The sequence below is a fragment of the Homo sapiens genome, chromosome 3 (assembly GCF_000001405.40).
Source record: "Homo sapiens chromosome 3, GRCh38.p14 Primary Assembly".
Taxonomy (NCBI): Eukaryota; Metazoa; Chordata; class Mammalia; order Primates; family Hominidae; genus Homo; species Homo sapiens.
Window position 1 is genome coordinate 104757337 of NC_000003.12, and position 22665 is coordinate 104780001.

Genomic DNA, 22665 nt, shown 5'->3' on the forward strand with positions numbered 1-22665 from the left:
TTCAGGCTTCAGATTGGCATCATTTTTTCTGATACTTGATTATGATTCTTATTTTAAAGCATTCTGTTTGTGGCTAAAAATGAACATTTATCTTATGCCTCAGTAAGTTAGAAAAGAATAGGGGAAAAAGTAGAAATAAGAATATAATAAAAAAGAATAAATTAAAATATGAAATAAATGTGGAATTAAAAAAGCCAAAATTAGCTTTATATCTGTTTAAGATACAAAGGAGTAAGTCACTGAAAAGAAAAACAAAAAATGGGGCATTTCATAGATTTTAAAGCAGTATATTGATAGCATAATATTATAAACATCTTGATAATAAATTTAAAAAATATAGTAAGATGAACATTTTCTGGAAATAAACACATTTCTGCTAAAATTGAACAAAGAATAGAAAATCTGAATAATTATATATCTAATACAGAAATTATATTTGTTTAAAAAATGCATTGGTTACCTCTGAAAAAATTAAGAGAAATATCAGTAATCTTCTGCAAAATATTCTAGTGATAAAAAAAGAGGAAACAGTTTCCAAACCATTATATGAAACCAGTATATAATTGATAGCAAAATTTTACAAGTTATAAAAAGAAATAAATATTTTCATGATGAGATAAAAACTTTTTAAAGTAACATATTAACTACCATCAAGTTACCAAAAGGATAATGTATCTCAAATGAGGTGTTTCTCTTTTCAAAATGACACTTTGTTTTAATAGAAAAAAAAGTCTATGTAATCCACTACATAAATTAAAAAAAAAAACAGAAAAAATTATATGATCATCTCATTAGACAAATAATAAGCACTTGAGAAATTTAAGGCAAACTTCCAAAATGATTCTTACCCCTCTATAATCTCTTCCTCTAGAATGTGGACTGAACTTATGAATATAATGTGATACCACCCCAATGATTTAGTTACCTTAATTGACACTAAAATACAGAGATTAGGTGGGCCTTACCAAATCACATGAACCTTTTAAATCTGGGTTTAGAGGTCGGAGACTGGGGAAGTGAGAGATTCAGAATACGAGGATTTGACATCCCAGCTTGAAGACAGAGGAAACAACATGGCAAGGAACACAGAGAGCCTCTAGAAGCCAAGACTGGCCCCCCAGCTGCCAGCCAACAACAAACTGTATTCTGACAATGACAAGAATAAGTTTCAAAGCACAAATTTTCCCAGAGCCTCCAGAGGACAATTCATCCCAGTCAACACCTTGATTTCAATCTTATGGTACCCTGAGCAGAAAACCCTGCCACTTCTGACCTACAGCACCATAAGCTTATAAATGTGTATTGTTTTAACCTACTAAGTTTGTGCTAATTTGCAGCAATAAAATACTAATACAAATATCCAGAAATAGGTAAACAATATCTATAAAAATCTATAGCAAACATCATCCTAATGATGATTAATTAAAGGTGTTTGTCCTGAAATTATTAATGAGACAGGAATGTTGTTACTACATTGCACTGGAGTCCTAGTGTCAGTCTAACAATCTAGAAAAACAACTGAGATGTATAAGAAATGGAAAGAAAAAACTAAACTGTCATTTTTGCAGAGGACATAATTGTATATGTAGAATATCCAGAATAATTAACACAGAAATTATTAGGGTTAATAACTAAACTTAAATAGCAGCTAGAGAAAAGATCAGCATGTGAAATTCTATATGCAAGCAAAAAGTGGATAATAAAAATTTTACCCTGAAATTTTCTTAAAAGCATAAAAATTTTAAACAACTGGGAATAAATGTTTTGTTTTTTTTTTTTAATTTTCAGAGAACTTATAAAAGACAAATAAAGGGTGATATGGTCAAGGATTATTAGAAGAGTCAATATTTCTGATATTCTCCAAATTAATCTATATATTCATTTCAATTAATCACAATAGAAAACTTAGTACATTTGTGGTGTGTTTGTGTATGTAAATTGACAAGTTGAGTCTACACACATACACAGACACACAAACACAAGGGGCAAAAATACCTAAGAAAATGCCAAAAAGGCATAAAGTAGGAGGATTTAACAAGATATAATGAAGTTAGGCAAATGGACCAACGCAAGAAAGAGTCTCCAGAAACAAACTCAAACATACAGAAACTTTTGATTTATGAATAAGATAGTACTGCTGAGCAAAGTAGTGGAAAAGAAAAGTCTTATCAATAAGTAATGTTGATTTACTTGATATCCACAGGGGTAAAAACAGCAACACTTCACATCATTTGCAAAAATAAATTTTAAATGGACCTAAAATATGTTATGAATTGAATTGTGTTCCCCATGAAATTTTTATGTTTAGATCTTAACCACCATTGCCCCAGAATTTGATCACCTTTGGAAATAGAATCATTACAGATATAATTAGTTAAGATGAGGTCATACTGGAGAAGGATGGGCTCCTGATGCAATGTAATTGGTGTCCTTATAAGAGGATGAAATTTGGACACAGACCGGCACACAGGAAGAACACCATGTGAAGATGAGGGCAAAGATCAGGATGATGCTTCTCCATGTAAGGGAACGCCAAATATTGCCAGAAAACTACCAGAAGCTATGGGAGAGAGAGGCATGGAAAAGGTTCTTCCTAACAGCCCTCAGAAGGAACCAACCCTGATGACACCTTGATCTTGGACTTCTAGAGTGCAGAACTTGAGACAATAAATATCTTTAAGCCACCCTGTTTGTGATACTTTGTTATAGCAGTCTTAGTAAATTAATGCAAAATCTAAATAGTACAAAATATAAGATACAGAAAAGTCTAAAAGATAACATAGAAGAAAATCATCACTTTTGCTTCAGGAAAAAAATTTTAAACAGGACACGTATATCACTAACCAAAGAGAGCAACTAACAGATGAAAAAACTGGTAAGCTGAACAACATTAAGTATTTTCAGTAATAGTTAAGAGTAAAACATCAAGGAAAAAGTCTACAGTCGGGAAGTCTACATTTAAATACCTAAAAGTGAAAAAAAAAGATACACAAATATTTCCTAAATATCAGTTAGAAGCAGATAAATGCACAACAGAAAAATAAGAGATTTTAATAAGTACCTTAAATAAAACAATTTCAAAATGGCCAAAGAAAGTTTTTAAAAGAGCTCAACATCATTAGCCACAGTGGAAATTCTTGTGAAAGGCATAATGAGATATTAGTGCACATTGACAAAAATGACTAAATGTAAAAAAAAAAAAGTCTTGTTTTTGGTGAATATTTAGCACTGTATCTCTCATACACTGATAGTAAGGGTGCAATTTCATAGAAACATTACCTCCTAATTTAATTTACATGTGCCCTGTGATCCAGTAATTCTCCCCCTAAAAATATATGTGTAAGTGCTCCAAGAAAACATGTGCTATAATGCTAATAGTTGTGTTATCCATAATAACCAAAATCTGGTAGCAATTTAAATGTCTACCAATAATTAAATGTAAATGTATTGTTATGTAGTCATACCAAAATGCTATGCAGCAATGAAATTTAGCAAACTACATTTAACAATACGGGTGAATCTCAGACCAAAATTTTGAGCAAACAAATCGGATCTCTTATAAACCTACTATTTGATTCCATTTGTATACATTTCTAAAGAGCATATAAGTAATATACAGTGAATTAATTCAGAAAATCGTACTGTTTCTTTCTCAAATATCATATTGAGACCTTGGGTGGTCCGTAGCTGGCTTAAAATTATGAGAGAAAACACTAGAAAAGTGATTTTTTTATATTGTGTGTTTGTGTATATATATATATATATATATATATATGTGGTGTATACACACATATATATATATATACACAAACACACAATATAAACAATCACTTCTAGTTTCATAATCACAGTGTGTGTATTTGCGTTTGCTCAACCTGTGGGATGAGAGTAGTTCACAAACCAAGAACTAGGGCTGAAGTTGTTGCTGTTGTTGCAATTGCTGTCCACCCAGAAATGATCCAGATTCCAGGGCTATCCGAATGTTCCTCTGTCCTGAGGTCACCATAGATTAGTACTGCTTCTATTTTGCTCCATTGGAAAAAAGTTTGGTAACAGTCTCTCCAAGATCAATAAGGAAATTTTTTTTTTCAATTAAAAAGTTCTTCCTTTTACTTATGCCCTCGACTGGACCTTGTACATCTCCTACTCCTGTCATCTAAACGTATCCCTCCAACCCCTAAAATTCCTATGATGACAAACCTTGGCACCTTATGTCTCCACAAGGGTTTCTCCCAGATTTTGTGCCAATTATCAACCACCACTCTAGATTTATCTATTCTCTATAAAGCCCATGGCATCTCCCGATTTGGATTCTAACTTTTCCAGAACCAGTGTTTCTTAGGATATTTTATAGTTTCATATCCATAACGTTAAAAAGTAATTTTATATATGTGTCTCCTCATTATACTGTGAAACTAGGAATAGAATTTAATGATTTTGCATGCCCTACATCTAGTACTATGCCTGAACATATTTAGGAACTTAATAAATATATATTGAATGCATAATCTTTGCATGTTTTATGAGAAAAATATTGCTAAACCCAAAAAAGTACAAATTAAAGACATACATTTAATAGGTTGATTGACATTTCTTAATATCTTAACTTCTATAAAAGGAGAACACCTTCACATGAAGAAGCCAGATTAATTTCTACTTCAAGTCACTTGGACTTCCCTTGAGCTTTTTCAGATTATTAACATAGCCTATAGAAATGTCTGGTTAGAAAAATTATTCATAAGTTATTGTTCCCTCTTTTTTAAAAAAATCAAGTAGGAAATTGTGTGGAATCCTCTGTCTTTAGGGCTTGTTTAACAACAAATAATAATATTTAATAAAAATCTCTGGGAAACTTGTGCATCCTATAGGAAATGATTAAAATTATCTAATTAATAGGGAAAGGTAGTAGAAATTGCAATAATGAAAACAAAGCAAGGAGAATGGATAATGTGTTATATGTATTATGTTCATTGACAAAATGCTTTAAAAAATGAGGAAAATGTATTTTTTAATGCTCAAGATATAGGATTTGGCAAAAAAAAAAAAAAGAAAAAGAAAGATCAAGTCAGCACAATGTTCACAAAATGATATCAATAGATCTAAAATCATTCTATATATTTGTGTATATACATTCAAAGGCATTGAACAAATCCAGGAAAAAATACTCCAAAGGCTGAACAAAGCATACTGGGAAGGAATGGTATTTGACAGTAGGGTTGTGAGAATATTGCCTTAAATATGTATTTTCTGTTTGTTTGTTTGTTTGTTTTGGTTAAGTATATCTATTTGTGTGTGTGTGTGTGTGTGTGTGTGTGTGTGTGTGTGTGTGTACTACATAGAACTTTCAAGTTATTTAGAGTTACAGAAAGTGAAGAGGCAGAGAAAATTGATAATGGGCACACTGAAATGTGGAGAACTGCCGATGTCTAGCTTCCTTAATCCCTTCTTGCTATCCAGAGTTGGAAACCTATGCCAAGTAACATTTTTGGACAGGAAATGGTCATTATTTTATAGCCACAATACCAATCACCACATCAACACTGTCTTCTTCCTAAAGTGATTGAAAAAGTTCCTTTACACTATTTCTTGCCAAGAAATGGAATCTTCTACTATATTTAGAATTGTTTTAAAATAAGAATAGAAAAAAGGAACAAGGTGGCAAGTTGGCAGTGTTTCTTCTACAACTAAGTAAAGAAAAAAGCTCACAACTCTGGAACTAAAGGGAATCCTGCTCTTGCTTCTTTCCCAGGCTCAGCTCCCTCTGGGAAAATGGCCCTTTGGGAGAAACCCTAAGTGGCAGCCACCCAAACTCTCTCTCTGTAGACTAAAGGAATGGGCAAATTGCCCCAGTAGAGAGAAAAAAATGGCTTATAGAAGAAGTGTTCCCTCCCCCATTCAGCAAAAGCACCAGCCCTCAGGGAAATATTCCTTGTGGGCCAAATGCCAGGACAGAAGAACTAGAAACCCCTGCTTAAGATTCAATTGAAAGTAAGGTTCTATTCAAAGACATTGGAATGTAAAAAAAAAAAAAGAAAAGGAGTTTATTGGAATGTGAAGGAAAGGGGGAAAACATTGAGGCAGGCAGATACATAGAAATGACAGACAAGATCTGTTAAGACAGAGTTTATAAAAACTTTCTACAGTGACTAATAATATTACATGGAGCTAAAGGCAATGAGAGAATTGTGATTCTTTACAGAGAGAAAAAAGATTCTTATTTTATGTTAGTGATGGTATTTCCTGGACGTCTGCAACATTTTTTCTTCTTTCACATTCCAACAAGAGATTTTTCTTTTCAATTTGTTTTTCCTTTAGAGTCAGCTATATTTGGAAACAAACTATACTTTGATACATGATTTACTTATGTGATAGGACCTTGAGACACTCCTTATTTTCATGGACAGATTTGAATCATCTGGAAGAATCTAGAGGGAAGTAATTGGAATAATTAAATAAATGACCTATGTATTTCACTCTCTCATTCTCCCACACCACCTCCAGTGACCAAGTCACAGCCCTTTAAAAGAAAAGAGGAATTCTATGAGAATAACATGAAATGTGTAGCAGCTTACTGACGGAAATTGATAGGGGTGAGGTTCTTTAGAAATGAATCTTTGAGAAGGCAAAGTGTTTACTGTGGTACCCTTTCTGGTCTAATGACGCCCAGTTTGCTTTCAGTTATTATAGCTCTATTGCAAAATATCCTTACAGCAAAAGAAAGAGGCTAGGAAGGGAGGTGAAGTTGGAGTGAATGTCTGATTGCCAATGGGAGCTTATATCATCAAAAAAAATCTTCCTGGCCTCTTCACTTGAAAGATAAAGGAAAGCGTGCATTGCATTTGAACTCTCCAGTCTGGTACTAGGTTGTGTCTTCTGACTTCAAATAATTAGCTCATTCCTTTTATCTGACCACACACGAAGTCTCTGAGCCAGATAAGAAATCATTTTATGGGAAAAAGGGAGTTTCCCAAGGTGTTTATAGCATAAAGCGTATAAGAATAACGTATAGAAGTATGGGAAAAATAAGAGACTTGGAACTTACTATTTATTTTTCTTCTCAGAATCTCAAGTTATTTCTCTATCCTTAATAAGATTGTGATGCTGAACCTACTCAAAGAGAACAGAAAAAGAAAAATTAATACCCTCAGATAAATAACAAATTGATTGCAAAATTAATATATGATCCAGGGAGTGTTAGGCACTATGTCATTGCACAAGTTCAAAATCGGCCCTTTATTATTATTCTCTAATGATTTCATACAGAAAAGCTTATGGTAATATGTAAAGTTCTGCTGCAATACTGGAAGGCATTATCTATTTGTTTTTAATTACCTTACGCAATATTATTCCAGCTTTGTGCTCTGATGGCTTCTGTTCAAATGAGAATTTTTTTTTTTTTAGCAGATTGCCTTTGGGAGTTACAGCAATAGTGAGAAACGGTACACAGATAACAATACTCAGAGTGATAAGAGCTTAAAGTACAGTAATTATAATTAGCAAAGAGATAATGACATTTGAAAAAAAAGATGAACAAAAAAACGGCAAGACCATGTGAGCATGAATTTACCGAGTTTGTTGTGCCCAAATGTTCTTCCAATAATCTCTGTAAAACTATAGCTCTGGAGCTCTGCTTCTGAGATTCAAATTATTTACAATTATGCAAAACTAACTCACTGGAAAAAGACATGTGCAGGGCAGAAAGATTATTTGCAGAAGCACCATGCTAACTAAAAGTTGAAAGGTCCATATAAAGAGCCCTAAGGCCCTTAAAACCTGGTATTACGAATGGCTATTGTACACCAACCACTGTAAGTTCTATTTCAGCTTTAAAATATAAATACCATGGAAACTGTCATGGTTTCAGAATTTCTTCACAGAAGAGGCTTAAGAGCTGCAAATTGCCTGGAAAGGGGAATTGCATACGGCGATGAAAGATTTGGAAGCCCACTGACTTCTCTTGTTTTGTATGATATAAATATACAAATATAGTTTTAGTATAGTGTTAGTAGGAAGTCTAAAACATATTTTGAAATACTATAAAAATATTTCATACTTAATTTATTAAATGTGAAATAAAACAAGGATACAATTATAAGCATATTATATTTACTTCAGTGTGATAATCAAGATTTCTAGAATCAGAATATATTTCTTTCTTTCCAATAGCTAATTATTTTAGTGACAAATAGTTTCCTCTCTGTCCATATTAGGTTATAAAATCAATTAATTTAAGGACTTACACAAGTAATTTTGCAGTTTTTATGTCAATTATTGTGGTCAGTATTCATATTATTTCCCTTTTACTTTATGTGAGTTGCCTTATGCAAATATACCTCCTAGCTATAAATGATGTTAATATTAATTATCAACAAAATAAATTACAGTATTCAAGAGGAAGTGCCAAAAAGTCCACTTTTGAACTGAGTATGCTTATAAAATAGGTCACCATTCTGGTGGCCTCAGATATGCAAGAAATCAACTCAACTGACAGAAATGACACTCTGTACTGCTGGAATCTTTAAGCTGGAAAGAAATCCAGTCTTGAAAGGTAGAGTCTACAGGTCATCACTAAAAGAAGGGTCAGAAAGGAGATCTCGGCTAGTGAGGGAAAGTGGTAAGGTCCTATCTTAAGATTAAAGATGATGGCTTCAGTCTACATCATCATTTGTCAGCTTAGAAGAAGGACAGAAAGAAACAAAGGAGTCCATCACCATAATAATGGTATAAGTATATGATATTCTAATATTTGTTTATTTTATTATTAACCATTTCTCTGTTTACTTCAGTATTTGAAGTCTCAGTACTAAATAGTGATGTGTCTACTTTTAAGAGAAGAAAAAAATTAAATATAAGAAGAAAATATGTTCTGGCACAGTTATGTTTAGTGAATAAAAGAAACAACTCCAATACAAGCATATGGAGGAGTAGCCATGAAAAATTCGAAAAGAGACCCGGGGTCATTCCTAGATGATGTTAAGTATGATTTGAGCTTTGTTATTGGGGTAGGACTATAAGTTATTCTATCCAGCCCCTTTTCAATTGGTATACCTTGAAAGAAAATCCAAATAAAATTAACTGTTCTTTTTCTTGTCTTCCTTTGGAAGTCTTTGCTTTTCTTAGACGTCTTGGCACTCGAAATGATTAAAAATATGCATTTATTGAGATTTAGCCTCTGTACATAGCTAGGTGATGATAATTTGATATTTCAATCTATCTCAGAGAAACATGGAAACATCAAAATTATTGCATTTACAGATAAAAAAATGGAAAAGTAGAACTGAGATATATCCAAGATTATACAATGTGATGAAACTTGGATTTACTTGTGTGGTTGCTGATTTTTAAGTCCATGATATCCCAATAGATCACCCCAAATTAAAGGTAAGTGTCATGGGAAAATTATTAAATCCAAGATACACAAGCTATAAGAGGTGAGACTTGTTTTATTATTCAATTGTTTATTTGTTTGCTTATTCAAAGAAAAATTTATTGATTTATTTTTTGTCCATTTATTTCACAATATGTATTGTAGTATACCAGACATATAGTTGAAATATAGAAAAATAAAATCTATATCTCTAGTTGAGATATAGAAAAATAAATATATAAACAGACATAAAAACAAAACATTTTAATTATGTGATTTCTGAAAGCATTTTTGGTATAGTTTTCCATGCTCAGCCAGTGAGAGATAAACATTCATTAGAATTATCAGTCTGTCAGAATTCTAAGCAAACCCAGAATGGGTCAGCAAAGAAAACATTGTTCCATTCTAAGGATTTTGCAGGTTCATGTAAGCACTATCTAAATAAAGCAAAGAAAACCCATTAAAGCATGCACACATTTGCACAAATTTTTAACACATGTACACCAGAGACATTCTTAACGCATACTGCATCTTCTAAGAATTCCTATTTTTTATTTTACTGACTATAATACACTGTGGCTTTATCAAGACAAGTTATTTAATTTGCGAAATGTTGTACAATGGGAAGAGAAGGAATAAATTTTAAAATCATGAAGATTCTTTAGTCTGTTTCTTCCTTTGAAGGCACATTATTCTTCAATAGGGTAAAAAATATCTCTCAGAATTTGTATTTTTTAAATCTCGTGAGCCTACATTTATGCCAACTCAGAGCCTATAAAAATTCTCTGAGCTAAAACATCTGGAAATTGACTATGTCATTCATAAGTTGAAATATGGCTTTATTTATTTTAAAATTGCTAGAAGATGGTTTTTCATATTTCTACACACTAAAAATACCTGACAAAAGTTTCTGCGGCCTTTGCAATGTGTATAAGTTGATTATAGTACTTTGTTGACAGATTGCTGGTTTCAAAGTCAGAATGACTAGCACATTGATTTTCTTGTGAGTGATTAAGTCACCCCACCTAGCAGCCTCAGTGAGACCTATGCATCCAAGCCAAGCGATGCTCCTAACAAGGCCTGACACTTGCACTCACCATCAATAGATATTAGGGACTACTTGCAGGAATTTTGGTATTGCCATTTCAAAAAAAAAAAAATGCCCATGATTACTATCAGACACCCTGTCATCTCATAGAGTTAGCTATTTTTTTTTTCTGGATTTTGGAGAACAGTCTACTACTTGAAATTTGATAGGTTGTCTCATCTGGTGCTCACAATACCTCCATAAGAAAGAAAAAGTGGTCATTTATAAAATGAGGTAACAAGTTCAATATGATCAAGTGGCTTAGGTATAGTCACTGCTGATGAAGACTCCCAGGCCTGTCAGCTAGGATGGTGTACTTGAGCAATGAATCTGGGAAGCTGACCTTCAGTATATCCTGAGTAACATGTTGAGGCAACCTGATGTACAGGAAAACATCTAGGCAGAGTTTCTGTAACTGCAGAGAGGTGCCAAGAGAGGATGAAAAATAAAACCTATAAGGATGCCAAAAAGAAACTTTTTAAGAAACCTGAGCAAAACTGTGAAGCCTTTTCAGCAACAGCCAGGGCTCTTATGGAGAACTGAAGTCCAGAGAACCTTGACCAATTCATGAGAATGGATGATAAATTATGAACCGAATCAATATTCTCTTCCAAAACAAAAGCTGAGACATGCATTATAGATTTAGAAAACACAGAGGCAAGAGAAATCAGAGTACAGGATCACAGTTGAACCTTAGGTATTCTTGTCTGGCCTCTTTTTAATTTGTTTTACAGATGAGGAAAATAGGGTATAAGAGTTAAACAGATAGCAAACTTGATAAAGCAAGCTAATGGCGGCACTTAGACTGAAAACCTGATTCTTCATCTTAATCCAGTGCTCTTCTTACCTCACAGCTCAGCTCTAACTGTCTGCTACATATAGGAAGGCAGTTACAGCTTCTAGAAATTCCTCCCATATTCTGGTTCCAGAATTTTTGCATTAGATACACTACAGGGTGGTCTTCTCTTTCTGTCTCTCTCAAGATTGCAGTGCTTTGGACTGGGTTTGTTAATGAAAATACCGAAAGGTCTTGCATTGAAGTGCAAAACAGCCATTATTCACACATATGTGAGACAATATCAGACTTAGATCTCTGTTTTATTTATGGCTTAGATCAAAAGAATAAAGTTCTTACAAAGCCTCTTCACAAGTGGTAGTACTTGTCAAAAAAATTATCTCTTTTGCTCACTGACTAATCAGGTAGAGCATCTATGAGTACATGCTTCAAAGGAGGTGCATTTTCATTGTGTCCTGGCATAAATACAGCGTATGTGGCAGCCACATGGAATTTCAGGGATTTTCCCAGTACCAAAATAAATACTAGCTTTCATGTTTTTTTTTTAAAAAAGGAGGAATGACAAGTATCTTTGTAATTTTCCCTCTAATTTATTTAATACTTTTCATGAGAAGGTCTAAAAGAAAAACTGAGGTGGCACAGAAATTGCTGTTGGCAATGATTTAAGTACGTGCGCTTTGGTAACACAGAGAAGCATAAACATGATAGAAACTATATTTTTAAATACTTTGTGTTCTTCCAGAGGAAAGAAATTTGGCAATTTAACTTTAATTGATGCCCTGAGAATATAGCTGGAATGTAAAATGAAAGCCAAGAACCCCCTACCAACAAATCAACTCAGAAATACATCCTATGTAAAGAACCTTTGGAATCAGAACTAAAAAATAACTTTACAGACAACGTTAAGCTATATACTTAAAAGTAGGCACAACTAAGTATAAAGAGGTATTATTATTATTATGTTTTTCAGATGGAGTCTCTCTCTGTCACCCAGGCTGGAGTGCAGTGGTGTGATATATGCTCACTGCAACCTCTGCCTCCCAAGTTCAAGCGATTCTTCTTCCTCAGCCTCCCGAGTAGCTGGGATTACAGTCCCATGCCAGATTATTTTTTGTATTTTTAGTAGAGACAGGGTTTCACCATGTTGGCCAGGCTGGTCTTGAAATCCTGACCTCAAGTAATCCGCCCAGCTGAGCCTCCAAAAGTGCTGGGATTGTAGGTGTAAGGTACCCTGCAATAGGCCTAAAGAGGTAATCTTAATTTATGACCTGGTGCTAGGAACTCGGTGGTTGTTAAATGAATATTTGATGATGAAGCTAAAAGAATTCACTGCAACAATGAGAATACACGTAGATAAACAGATGCACACATTTGTAACATCTGTTGGGTAGTTATTCAGTGCCAGATACTGCACGAAGTGTTTTAAATGCACTATCCAAAATTTTCTTAAATAGCCAGTGTTAAAACTAAAAAGCAAATTCAGGGCTGCTAACTTTGAAGACCAAAAATTAAATTACTAAACTGTAGTGACCTCTTTTTATTATCAAATCTACCATAAATAATTTTCCATCAATTCTTTTTGCTTAGAAACATCAAAGGAAATAATTCTTGCTATTTCTATTTTAATAACATATGCAAAAAAAATGTCCTTTGCTTTCACAGCTTTTCTTCCAGGGATACCACATTCAAATTCACCACGGATAAGGGTTGAAAAAAAATTTACAAGAGAGAAAGACTTGCACAGCCAAATCAGTCTACAGTTTCACAAATACATAAAATGGTATAATTTAGTATGTCTGACTATTCCATTATTAGACGTATTAAAAAGATGGATAGTGTCAGCTCCAGGGTATGTTATCTCTTGTTCAGTCTCAAGCTAGCATGTCTATAGTGCACCAAATGATTCATAATATAGACCTTTAGAGAAGCTGAATGTAACTAAAACATGAAATAGGTTTGGCATATTAAACTAATCTGCTTTGGTAAGTGACCTTTCTGCAGCAGGCAAGCAACTATTCCATGGGTGCCCTGTTGACGTTTTCACTCTGATAGGCCTCGTCACACAGTTTTATCTTGTTTCCCCAGCTCCCTTCCATTGATCATTTCTCTCTTGGGATAATGTGCTCAACAGTTATGTAAATCAAAGTGAAATATTCTTAGTTATCTACTTTTTCTGTTACATTGTCTGGATTTGGACATAATTGCTCCTTTTGTTCATTATTCCATGTTGATGAAACTTAAAGTGAAAATGTAAAACAAAAAACAGTGTCTACCATAGATACAGACGTCAGTACATAAGAAAATATCCTAAGTTTCTTTGTTCTGGAGAAATTTCTGGAAATATCTGTTAAATTCATGATAAATTTCACCCAGAATTACTGATTTCCAAGTACATGCAGTGTTGAGAGCTGGACTCTAGAAGTGTTTTGTTCTACTACCCCTCTGTGTTTTCTTTTTCCTCTTTTCACTTAGATATCAGGATTAAAATAAATTTATTATTATAAAGTTGAAAAATATACAAATATCCAGGAAAATAATTTTAAAATCAGGTATTATCTTATAGTTCAAAAATAGTAAGTTATCATTTTATTGATGTTCTCCCAGACATTTTTAGTGCATGTGTTTGTGTGTTTGTGTGTGTGAGTGGTTGTTTTTATACCTAAACTGGGATGATAAATTGCCTTGTTATTACTTGGAGCACATTTTTCTCACTCATCTCTATGACAAGTTCATTTTGCATATTTATTAATTTTCTATGCCTACATATAAAATTACCTCAGAATTTAGCAGCTTAAGAGAACCTGTATTTATTGTCTTATGGTTTATGTGGGTATGATAACCTGGGTTCTCTAGACCAAGGAGCCACACAAGGCTAAGACTATGGTGTCAGCCAGGGCCAGAGTCATCTCAAGGTTCAGTTGGAGCATGGCTCAATTCTAAGCCATCTTAGTGATTCTTTGTGGGTTGCTGGATTGAGGGCTTCAGTTCTTCACTGTCTGTTGGCTGGTAGCTACCAAAGAGATGAAAATTAAACATGAGACCCTATTTTTTACCAAAATATTAAAGTGATTAAAATGATAAGAATACCCTGATTGAAGCTTTTCTCTCATGTATTGTTGATGGGATTGTATATTAGCAATATAATTCTGGATTGAGATTGGGAAGAATGTTTGGAAGAATGCAGCTACCTTCAGTTCCTTGACACATGGGTCTCCTTATTCAGAAACGCAGAGCATGGCAACTTGCTTCATCTGAGCCAAATAGTGAGAAGATCCAGAGAAAATGTGTGAGCAACATGGAAGCCACAATTTTTCAAAGCCTAATTTCAGAAGTCAAAACAAACCATCACTTTCATTGCATCCCATTATTAGAAGCAAGTCGCTGTGTCCAGCCACCCTTAAGTGGAAGGGATACACACAGGGCGTTACAAGAAGGTGGGCTTATGGGGACCCTGTTAATTGTTAAGCATAATGCACTTTCTTTTACAAATATTCTTTAGGCATTCATTATTATTTCCTTAAGATGTTTACTGACTGGAGCATCATTTGCTGAAGATGAGCACAAAATTTAAGACTCTTGAAATATTCTTCCAAATCTCAATCCAGAATTATATTGCTAATATACAATCCCATTAGCAATATATTAGAGAAAATTCCACTTCCTTTAACCCTCACTGAGGGTATTATTGTCATTTTAATCACTTTAATATTTTGGTAAAAAATAGGGCCTCACATTTAATTTTCATCTCTTTAGTAACTCATGAAGTTGAATGTTTTTGTTTTACATATGCTTATGAGACATTTGGGTATTTTTCATTATCAATTGTTCATATTATGTTCAATTTTCTTATTGAGTCATGATATATTGATTTATCAGTGAACTGTATATTAAGAATATTATGCAGTTGTCTACCTTATGTCGAGTTAACATTGATTGCAAATTTTTCATCTGCCTTTTCAGCAAATAAAAGTCTTTATATATTAACATATTTTCTTCATTGAAATCTAATACAACAATTACCCACTTGTGTTCCAATGATGTTTCTTGCAACAACAGAAACACATAAAAACAAACAGATACAAAACATATTTAAAATTGGACAATTCAGTGCTTTGCAAGATCCCACAGAAGCAGAGAGGTTCAGAAACTGAGGTTTTTGAAAAAGTACAGAAAAATAACTATGCAGCTAGAAGCTGCCTAACCTTAAAATGAAGAATTTACTTAAGGAGAGAGAACAGTATTTTATACTACAGGCCAATTTTCCATGTGGCCTTGGATCAACCCAGTTCCTCCCTATTTTCTGCTTGTAGTTCTTGGGAATAACTGTAGAACTTGCTGGGAATGCAAAATCCTGAGATAAGGAGGGATTGACCAGAACGGCCTGAGCAGTGTTCCAGTCCCCCCTAGAAACAGGATGTTCTTCAATGCTTCAGCTCAGCACTTTATGTGACTGCTGGGGTATAAAACCTAGGACAGGTTACTTTCTAGGTTTCCTCAGCTGTGGTTCAAGTGGAGCAAGTGCAGACCAGCCTCCATCTACCCTAGGCAGCTTTCCTGAGCCTTTGGAAACCAGTTTCTGTTGTCTCTATTACCTGTCTGTAAGTAATAAATCCATTTCATGTAAGTTGTGTATGTTGGTCTTCTGTCTCACTGGACTCAGACAAGTTGGTAATCAGTGCACAATGAACCGTTTTTATACAAACAACTGCCAAGTGATGTTAAACTTTGAAAAGAGAGAGGAAAAAAGAGTAGCAGCCTTATTTTATTATTGTCACTACAAGTAAAACTTGAGCCAGCAATCTACATTATTTAGCAAAAATTTTAGTGTGAGATCTGTATATCTTTATGCTGTGACACTGAATGAAGAATGGCCATAAGTGGTCTAAAGCTTTTGATGGTTAATACTGTGTGTCAAGTTGATTGGATAGAAGGATACAAAGTATTGATCCTGGGTGTGTCTGTGAGGGTGTTGCCAAAGGAGATTAACATTTGAGTCAGTGGGCTGGGAAATGCTGACCCACCCTTAATCTGAGTGGGCACAATCTAATCAGCTGCCAGTGTGGCTAGGATATAAGGAGGCAGAAAAATGTCAAAAGAGAGACTGGCCTAGCCTCCCAGCCTACATCTTTCTCCCGTACTGGATACTTCCTGCCCTCAAACATCAGACTCCTAGTTCTTCAGTTTTGGAACTCAGACTGGCTCTCCTTGCCCTTCAGCCTGCAGAAGGCCTATTGTGGGACCTTGTGATTGTGTGAGTCAATACTTAATAAACTTTCCTTTATATATATATCTCTCTTCCCTTAGTTGTGTCCCTCTAGAGAAACCTAATACAAATACCAACTTGACTACCATACATGTTAAACATATTCACACAATTATAAGACAATGTTGGAAGATATCATCTAAAGTTCTAACTAGCCAATTTGATTCATAATTGAATTTTATTAATGAATTTATATTTATTAATATAAAATTGAATTTTATATTAATTTATTAATATAAAAACTATTTATATTAGTAGTTAGCCAATTTAATCAACTTTTTCTTTAAACATTGTAAGCACATTAGTAAATATATGTAATTCTTCTCATTATTCCCCATCCTTAGGGAAAAGCCTCTGCTCTTTTTGCACAGTAGTCAAGGCATAATTTAACTATCATCATATTGACACACTGTCTCTATTCTTACCCTCCTAGATGAGAACAGTCTCTGAATTAACAATTCATTTTTCCACCATTTAATTCAGATTGTTTATTGTCATTTTTAATTGTTTTGTTACTGTTTAAAATGATTATATTTAGAAATGAAACTATATTTTCAAACATATTTGATACACCTGAGAGCTACTAAAGAGCTGCAACGTAAACCTAAACCGATGTGACACCTTCAGATACAAATGGCAGATTGAACACATGTTTTCATCTTTACTCCCTTTTAAACTGTTTAAATGAGTTGTGATAGAACCACACGATAGAGTGCTAAACACTGGTCAAAAACAAGAAGACAGCTGGGAGCAGTCACTCATGCCTGTAAACCCAGCACTTTGGGAAGCCAAGGCCAAAGCCTTGCTTGAGGACAGGAGTTTGAGATCAGTCTGGTCAACATAGTGAGACCCAGTCTTCACAATAACTTTATATTTTTTAAATTAGCCAGATGTGGTGGCATGTACCGGTAGTCTCAGTTATTCCACAGGCTGAAGCAGGAGGATCACTTGAGCCCAGAGTTCAAGGTTGCAGTGAGATATGATAGAACCACTAAACTTCAGTCTAGGTGACAGAGGGACACCCTGTCTCCAAAAGAAAAAAAAAAGGAGACTACTTTAACATACTGCTATGAGCAATTTTTAGCATATATTTAGTGAAAAAAAGCAAGGAAAAAATAAGTGTGAATAATATATCATGTTGCTTAAGGAATATAAGTACATACATATTTAATTTTTTTAAATAGAAAAGTAAAACAAAGCTAACAAGCAAAATTGACTGGCAAAGAGAATGAGAAAACAGAATGAACACAGGATCTAAAATCTTTAAATATACCTTATTTGTATATTTGACTTTGGAACCATATTTTGATTTTAATGTTTTTAAAAATTTAACGCTTTTTATGTTTTAATGTTTTCCACAAAATATTTAAATATTTTTAAAAACCCTTAAAATTAAAAAGATTAAATGGAAGAGTAAATTGAGATTTCAATTCAGTTAACTTTCAAAATGGTAATTTTACACAAGATATCTTGTAGGATATATCCTAAAATAAAATAAACTAGAAGTCTTAAAGTGATTTAATATTCATATCATTATAAGTAATTTTGTATTCTGAAACAAACACAAACACACATATATGACATACAGCATGCTTGTATATACATAAGAATTATATATATATTCTTGAATATATATTACATATACACACATGTGTATATATGTACAATTGGGTTGTTTCATATATGTACATATGAAACATATATACATATATGAAACAACCCCAATTGTCCAATAATAGGAGAACTGTTGAAAACAACAACAGAAAGAACAACAATAACCAAACTATGGTATATCTGCACTTAGGTATATCTATGATTAAAGAAGTTCATAAAATTACTTAAATTTGTTAAAGTGGAAGAGAACAAGAATTTCAGCTTCAGAGAAAAGGTATATAATGAAAAGCACTTTTAAATAAAAACTTAACAATTTAAATATGCATTGGAAATGTTAATGGGAATTCAAGATGCACCAACTGGCTCCCAGTACAGATAAGAATATTTACATTAGAACTTTGAACAACAAAAATACTTAGCTGGCTAACAACTCAAAAGCATCTATTTTACCTCTTCAGGTATAAAATCACATATTTCCAGATTATTTATAATGGTATTATTTGTACTGAAAAATGAGTTAGGAAACAACACAAATGTCCAATAATAGGAGAACTGTAGAAAAAAACCCAGCAACAACAATAACAAAACTTGGCTGGACACCGTGGCTCACACCTGTAATCCCAGCACTTTGGGAGGCCAAGGTGGGTGGATCACTTGAGCCCAGGAGTTTCACACCAGCCTGAGCAACATGGAGAAACTCTGTCTCTACAAAACACACACACACACACACACACACACACACACACACACAGATCAGCTGGATATGGTGGTGCGGGCCTGTAGTCCTAGCTACTCAAGAGGCTGAGGTAGGAGAATCACCTGGGCCCAGGAAGTTGAGGCTGCAGTGAGCCGAGATCGCCTTCACTCCATCCTAAGTGATGGGAATCAAACCCTTTCTCAAAAATAAATAAATAAATAAATAACAAAACAGTGCCATATCTATACCAATGGATCTCAATGTGAGACGATTTTGCTCCTTACAATATAATTGGCAATGTTTGGATAGATTTTTGATTGTCACAACTGAAGGCAAGGATCCTACTGGCCTCTAGTCAGTACAGGCTGGTGAATTTTCCGCAATGTATCTGCAAACTCCTCACAAGAAATAATATTTGGTACAAAATATAATCAGCCCTTCATATCAGCAGGATTCACATCCTCAGATTCAACCAACTACAAATTGAAATATTTAAAAATAAAAACAATACAGCAATAAAAATAATATCAATAAAAATGTCATATAACAACTATGTATATAGCATTTAATTGTATTAGTTATTACCAGCAATCTAGAGGTGATTGAAAATATGTGGAAGGATTTGTGTAGGTTATATTCAAACACTGTGCCATTTTATAAAAAGGACTTGAGTATTCAGGGATTTTGGAATCTGTAGGGGGTCCTGGAACAAATATTGCCTCTCTCTTCTTGTAAATACCAAAGAATGACTGGAGCAATAGTGCTGAGTTTGAGAAACCCTGATGTATACTGCTACTGTACATCCATAGTAAAGAATAAAAAATTGTCTTCCTATATTAATTTAGGCATATCTACAGCTTATAATAAAGAGAAAAATCAAGATATAAAACAGTGTATCCAAAAAACTAACTTTAGAATTTTAGGTGGGATTTGGGATGATAACAATCTTTTTCTTTATATGCCCCCACAGCGACATACACATATGCTTTTATTTCCAAGAAGTAACAATGGAATTGGTAATAATTACTACATATGGAAGAGAGAAAGAACAGGGCAGAGAAAGCAGAAATGGAGGCAAGATTTATCTGTGTATATCATATAACTTACTGAGGAGTTTTGACTTCTGTTAGGGAAAATGCAATACTTGATTAAAATTATTTAACTATCAAAAAGAAAATCAAAATCAAATGTAGAACAATATAGTCAAAGTAAGATATTCTCAGAATACTTGTAAGAGCCAAGAAAATCTTCTAGGTAGATGAACACAAAGGGAAATATGAACAATAGTAGACAAAGCACAGAAAATTATGGGATTAATCCATTTTTAAAAGAAGTTCCTGAAATACAAGACAGAAAAGTGAAGTAGGAAGGACTTTTCAAATACATTCTTCAGTATTTCCCTGAACTTAACAATTGAACCTCTAAATAGAAAGGGACTCTTAAGTATTAAAATGAATAACAGAAATCCACACTAAAGCCCATCATTGTATAATCCATAACACCAAACATTTTAAAAAGGAGGTATGGACTTCAAAGGATTTATTTATTTTATTTATTTATTTTGTTGAGACGGAGTTTCACTCTGTCACCCAGGCTGGAGTGCAGTGGCGCGATCTCGGCTCACTGCAACCTCTGCCTCTAAGGTTCAAGTAATTCTCTGGCCTCAGCCTCCCAAGTAGCTGGGATTACAGGAGCCCATCAACACGCCCAGCTAATTTTTGTATTTTTAGTAGAGACGGGGTTTCACCATCTTGGCCAGGCTGGTCTCGAACTCTTTACCTCATGATCTACCTGCCTTGGCCACCCAAAGTGCTGAGATTACCGGCGAGAGCCACTGCGCCCGGCCCTTCAAACCCTTCAAAGAATTTATACACACACACACACACACACACAACCTACAGAAAGAATTAACTATTCAAAAAGCATCATGCTCTTAAGGACAATACTAGCTGCTAAAGCATTGAAGCAGCATGTCCAAATTCTGAGGTTCAGTGGATGTTGGCAAAAGTGGGGTATGTTAATTCCAGATCTGCTCCTCAATGATGTCTTAGTTTTCTCCATACTCTTTCTCTTTATTTGGCTGCCAGGCACATGTAGAAACTTTTCTGCAGGAATCTAGATGTCAGCAGATCCCCACAGTGCAAAGAGTCAGTCTCAGCTTTTGGAGCTGAGTCCTCACTCTGACCTAAGTTAGATAAGAAGTGGGTATGAAATACTCTTTTATTATTTAAAGCCACTAAAATAATTGAGTAGTTTATTTCAGCAGTTAGCATACCCCGACTGATACACATAGGATTTAGATAAGAAGATCCTACACAGTGGAAAGGTAATGAGAAGTCCAAGATCAAAAGCAGTTAAATAGGACTAAAAGCAATCAATCCAATTGAACAATCCAGGAGAGGAGGTCTCTGGGTGACAAATGGTTAACTGATAGGTTTACAGGGAAATTTACTTTCAAAGACTGTTGGAGTGAATGGGAAGAAAATTCAGAATTGTATTTCTTTTAATGAGGAAATAGTAACTCCAGGAAAAGCAATGAGAAGAAAGATAATCATGGTATATTACTTGGATTAGCAATGACATACATACAGTCAAAATTTGTGATGGAGAATAGAAAGACCATAGGAGATTTGAAGCTCGCTATGTAAAAATAATGCATACATATTAATTGGAAACATGTATGTAAATATCAAAATAGGCAGTTAAGGTTATTGAAAGTGACTATCTCTCTAGAATGAGCAGACTAGTGTAACAGGGAGCGAAGAGGCAACCCGTCTCTCTGTTGCCTCTCCTTATACAATATTTAGTGCTGTTTAACTATGTGTGTGTATATATATGTGTACCTATGTATGTGTGCATGTATAAATGTACAATTTTAGATTAAAATTTAAATTTATTTGATAAAATAAAATTAAGTTTGAGCAGGCAGAATGCGGTTTGGAGCAATAATTATAAGAAAAAGTTGATTGAAAGCAGCCACTTTTGTATTCACATTCCTCTCCAATTTATTGTTCAATCTTCTGTCCACTATGCACATCTGGATAATATATTTTCTTGTTCTCCTAATATAGTTTGCTTAGTTGACCCTTTATTTATACCTATTGACACTCTTGTTGGAATACTCTCTCTTTTCCTCTATACTATTGAGAGGTTAAGCCAGCTGGACTTCCTGGATCGAGTGGGGACTTGGAGAACTTTTCTGTCTTAAAAGAGGATTGTAAAATGCACAAATCAGTGCTCTGTAAAAACGCACCAATCAGCACTCTGTAAAAATGCACCAATCAGCGCTCTGTAGCTAGCAAGAGGATTGTAAAATGCACCAATCAGTGCTCTGTAAAACCCACCAATCAGCACTCTGTAAAATGCACCAATCAGCATTCTGTAAAACACACCAATCGGCAGGATCCTAAAAGTAGCCAATCACAGGGAGGATTGAGAAAGGGGCCCTCTAATAGGACCAAAACGGAACATGGGATGGAACAAACAAGGGAGTAAAAGCTGTCCCCCCCAGCCAGCAGCTGCAACGGACTGGGGTCCCCTTCGAGGTTGTGGAAGCATTGTTATTTTGTTCTTCACAGTAAACCTTGCTACCGCCCACTCTTTGGCTCTGTACTATCTTTAAGAGCTGTAACACTCACCGCAAAGGTCCGCGGCTTCATTCCTGAAGTCAGTGAGACCACGAACCTACTGAAAGGAAACCTACTCTGGACACACTATTAAATCATATTTGTTTTAAAAATACAGTCAGTTTCTCAAATACTACAAAAAATGTCTCCAAACCTAAAGTCTGATATTCTTATTGTGATTCCCTATAGCTTTTTCATACATTCTGGCACTTGAC

At 34.3% G+C, this 22665-nt stretch overlaps 1 long non-coding RNA gene across 2 annotated transcripts in view; it reads right to left on the minus strand.

Moving 5' to 3' along the window:
- The window catches only part of LOC107986108 (uncharacterized), a 279502-nt gene that overhangs the window by 126856 nt on the left and 129981 nt on the right, over nucleotides 1–22665 (minus strand). Inside the window, exon 4 of one of the 2 annotated variants that reach the window (XR_001740830.1) lies at nucleotides 5063–7107. The exons of the other annotated variant lie outside the window; for it this stretch is intronic. This is a non-coding gene — a long non-coding RNA (uncharacterized LOC107986108). Of the gene's footprint in view, nucleotides 1–5062; nucleotides 7108–22665 lie in introns of those variants that run through there. 2 annotated transcript variants of the gene reach the window in all.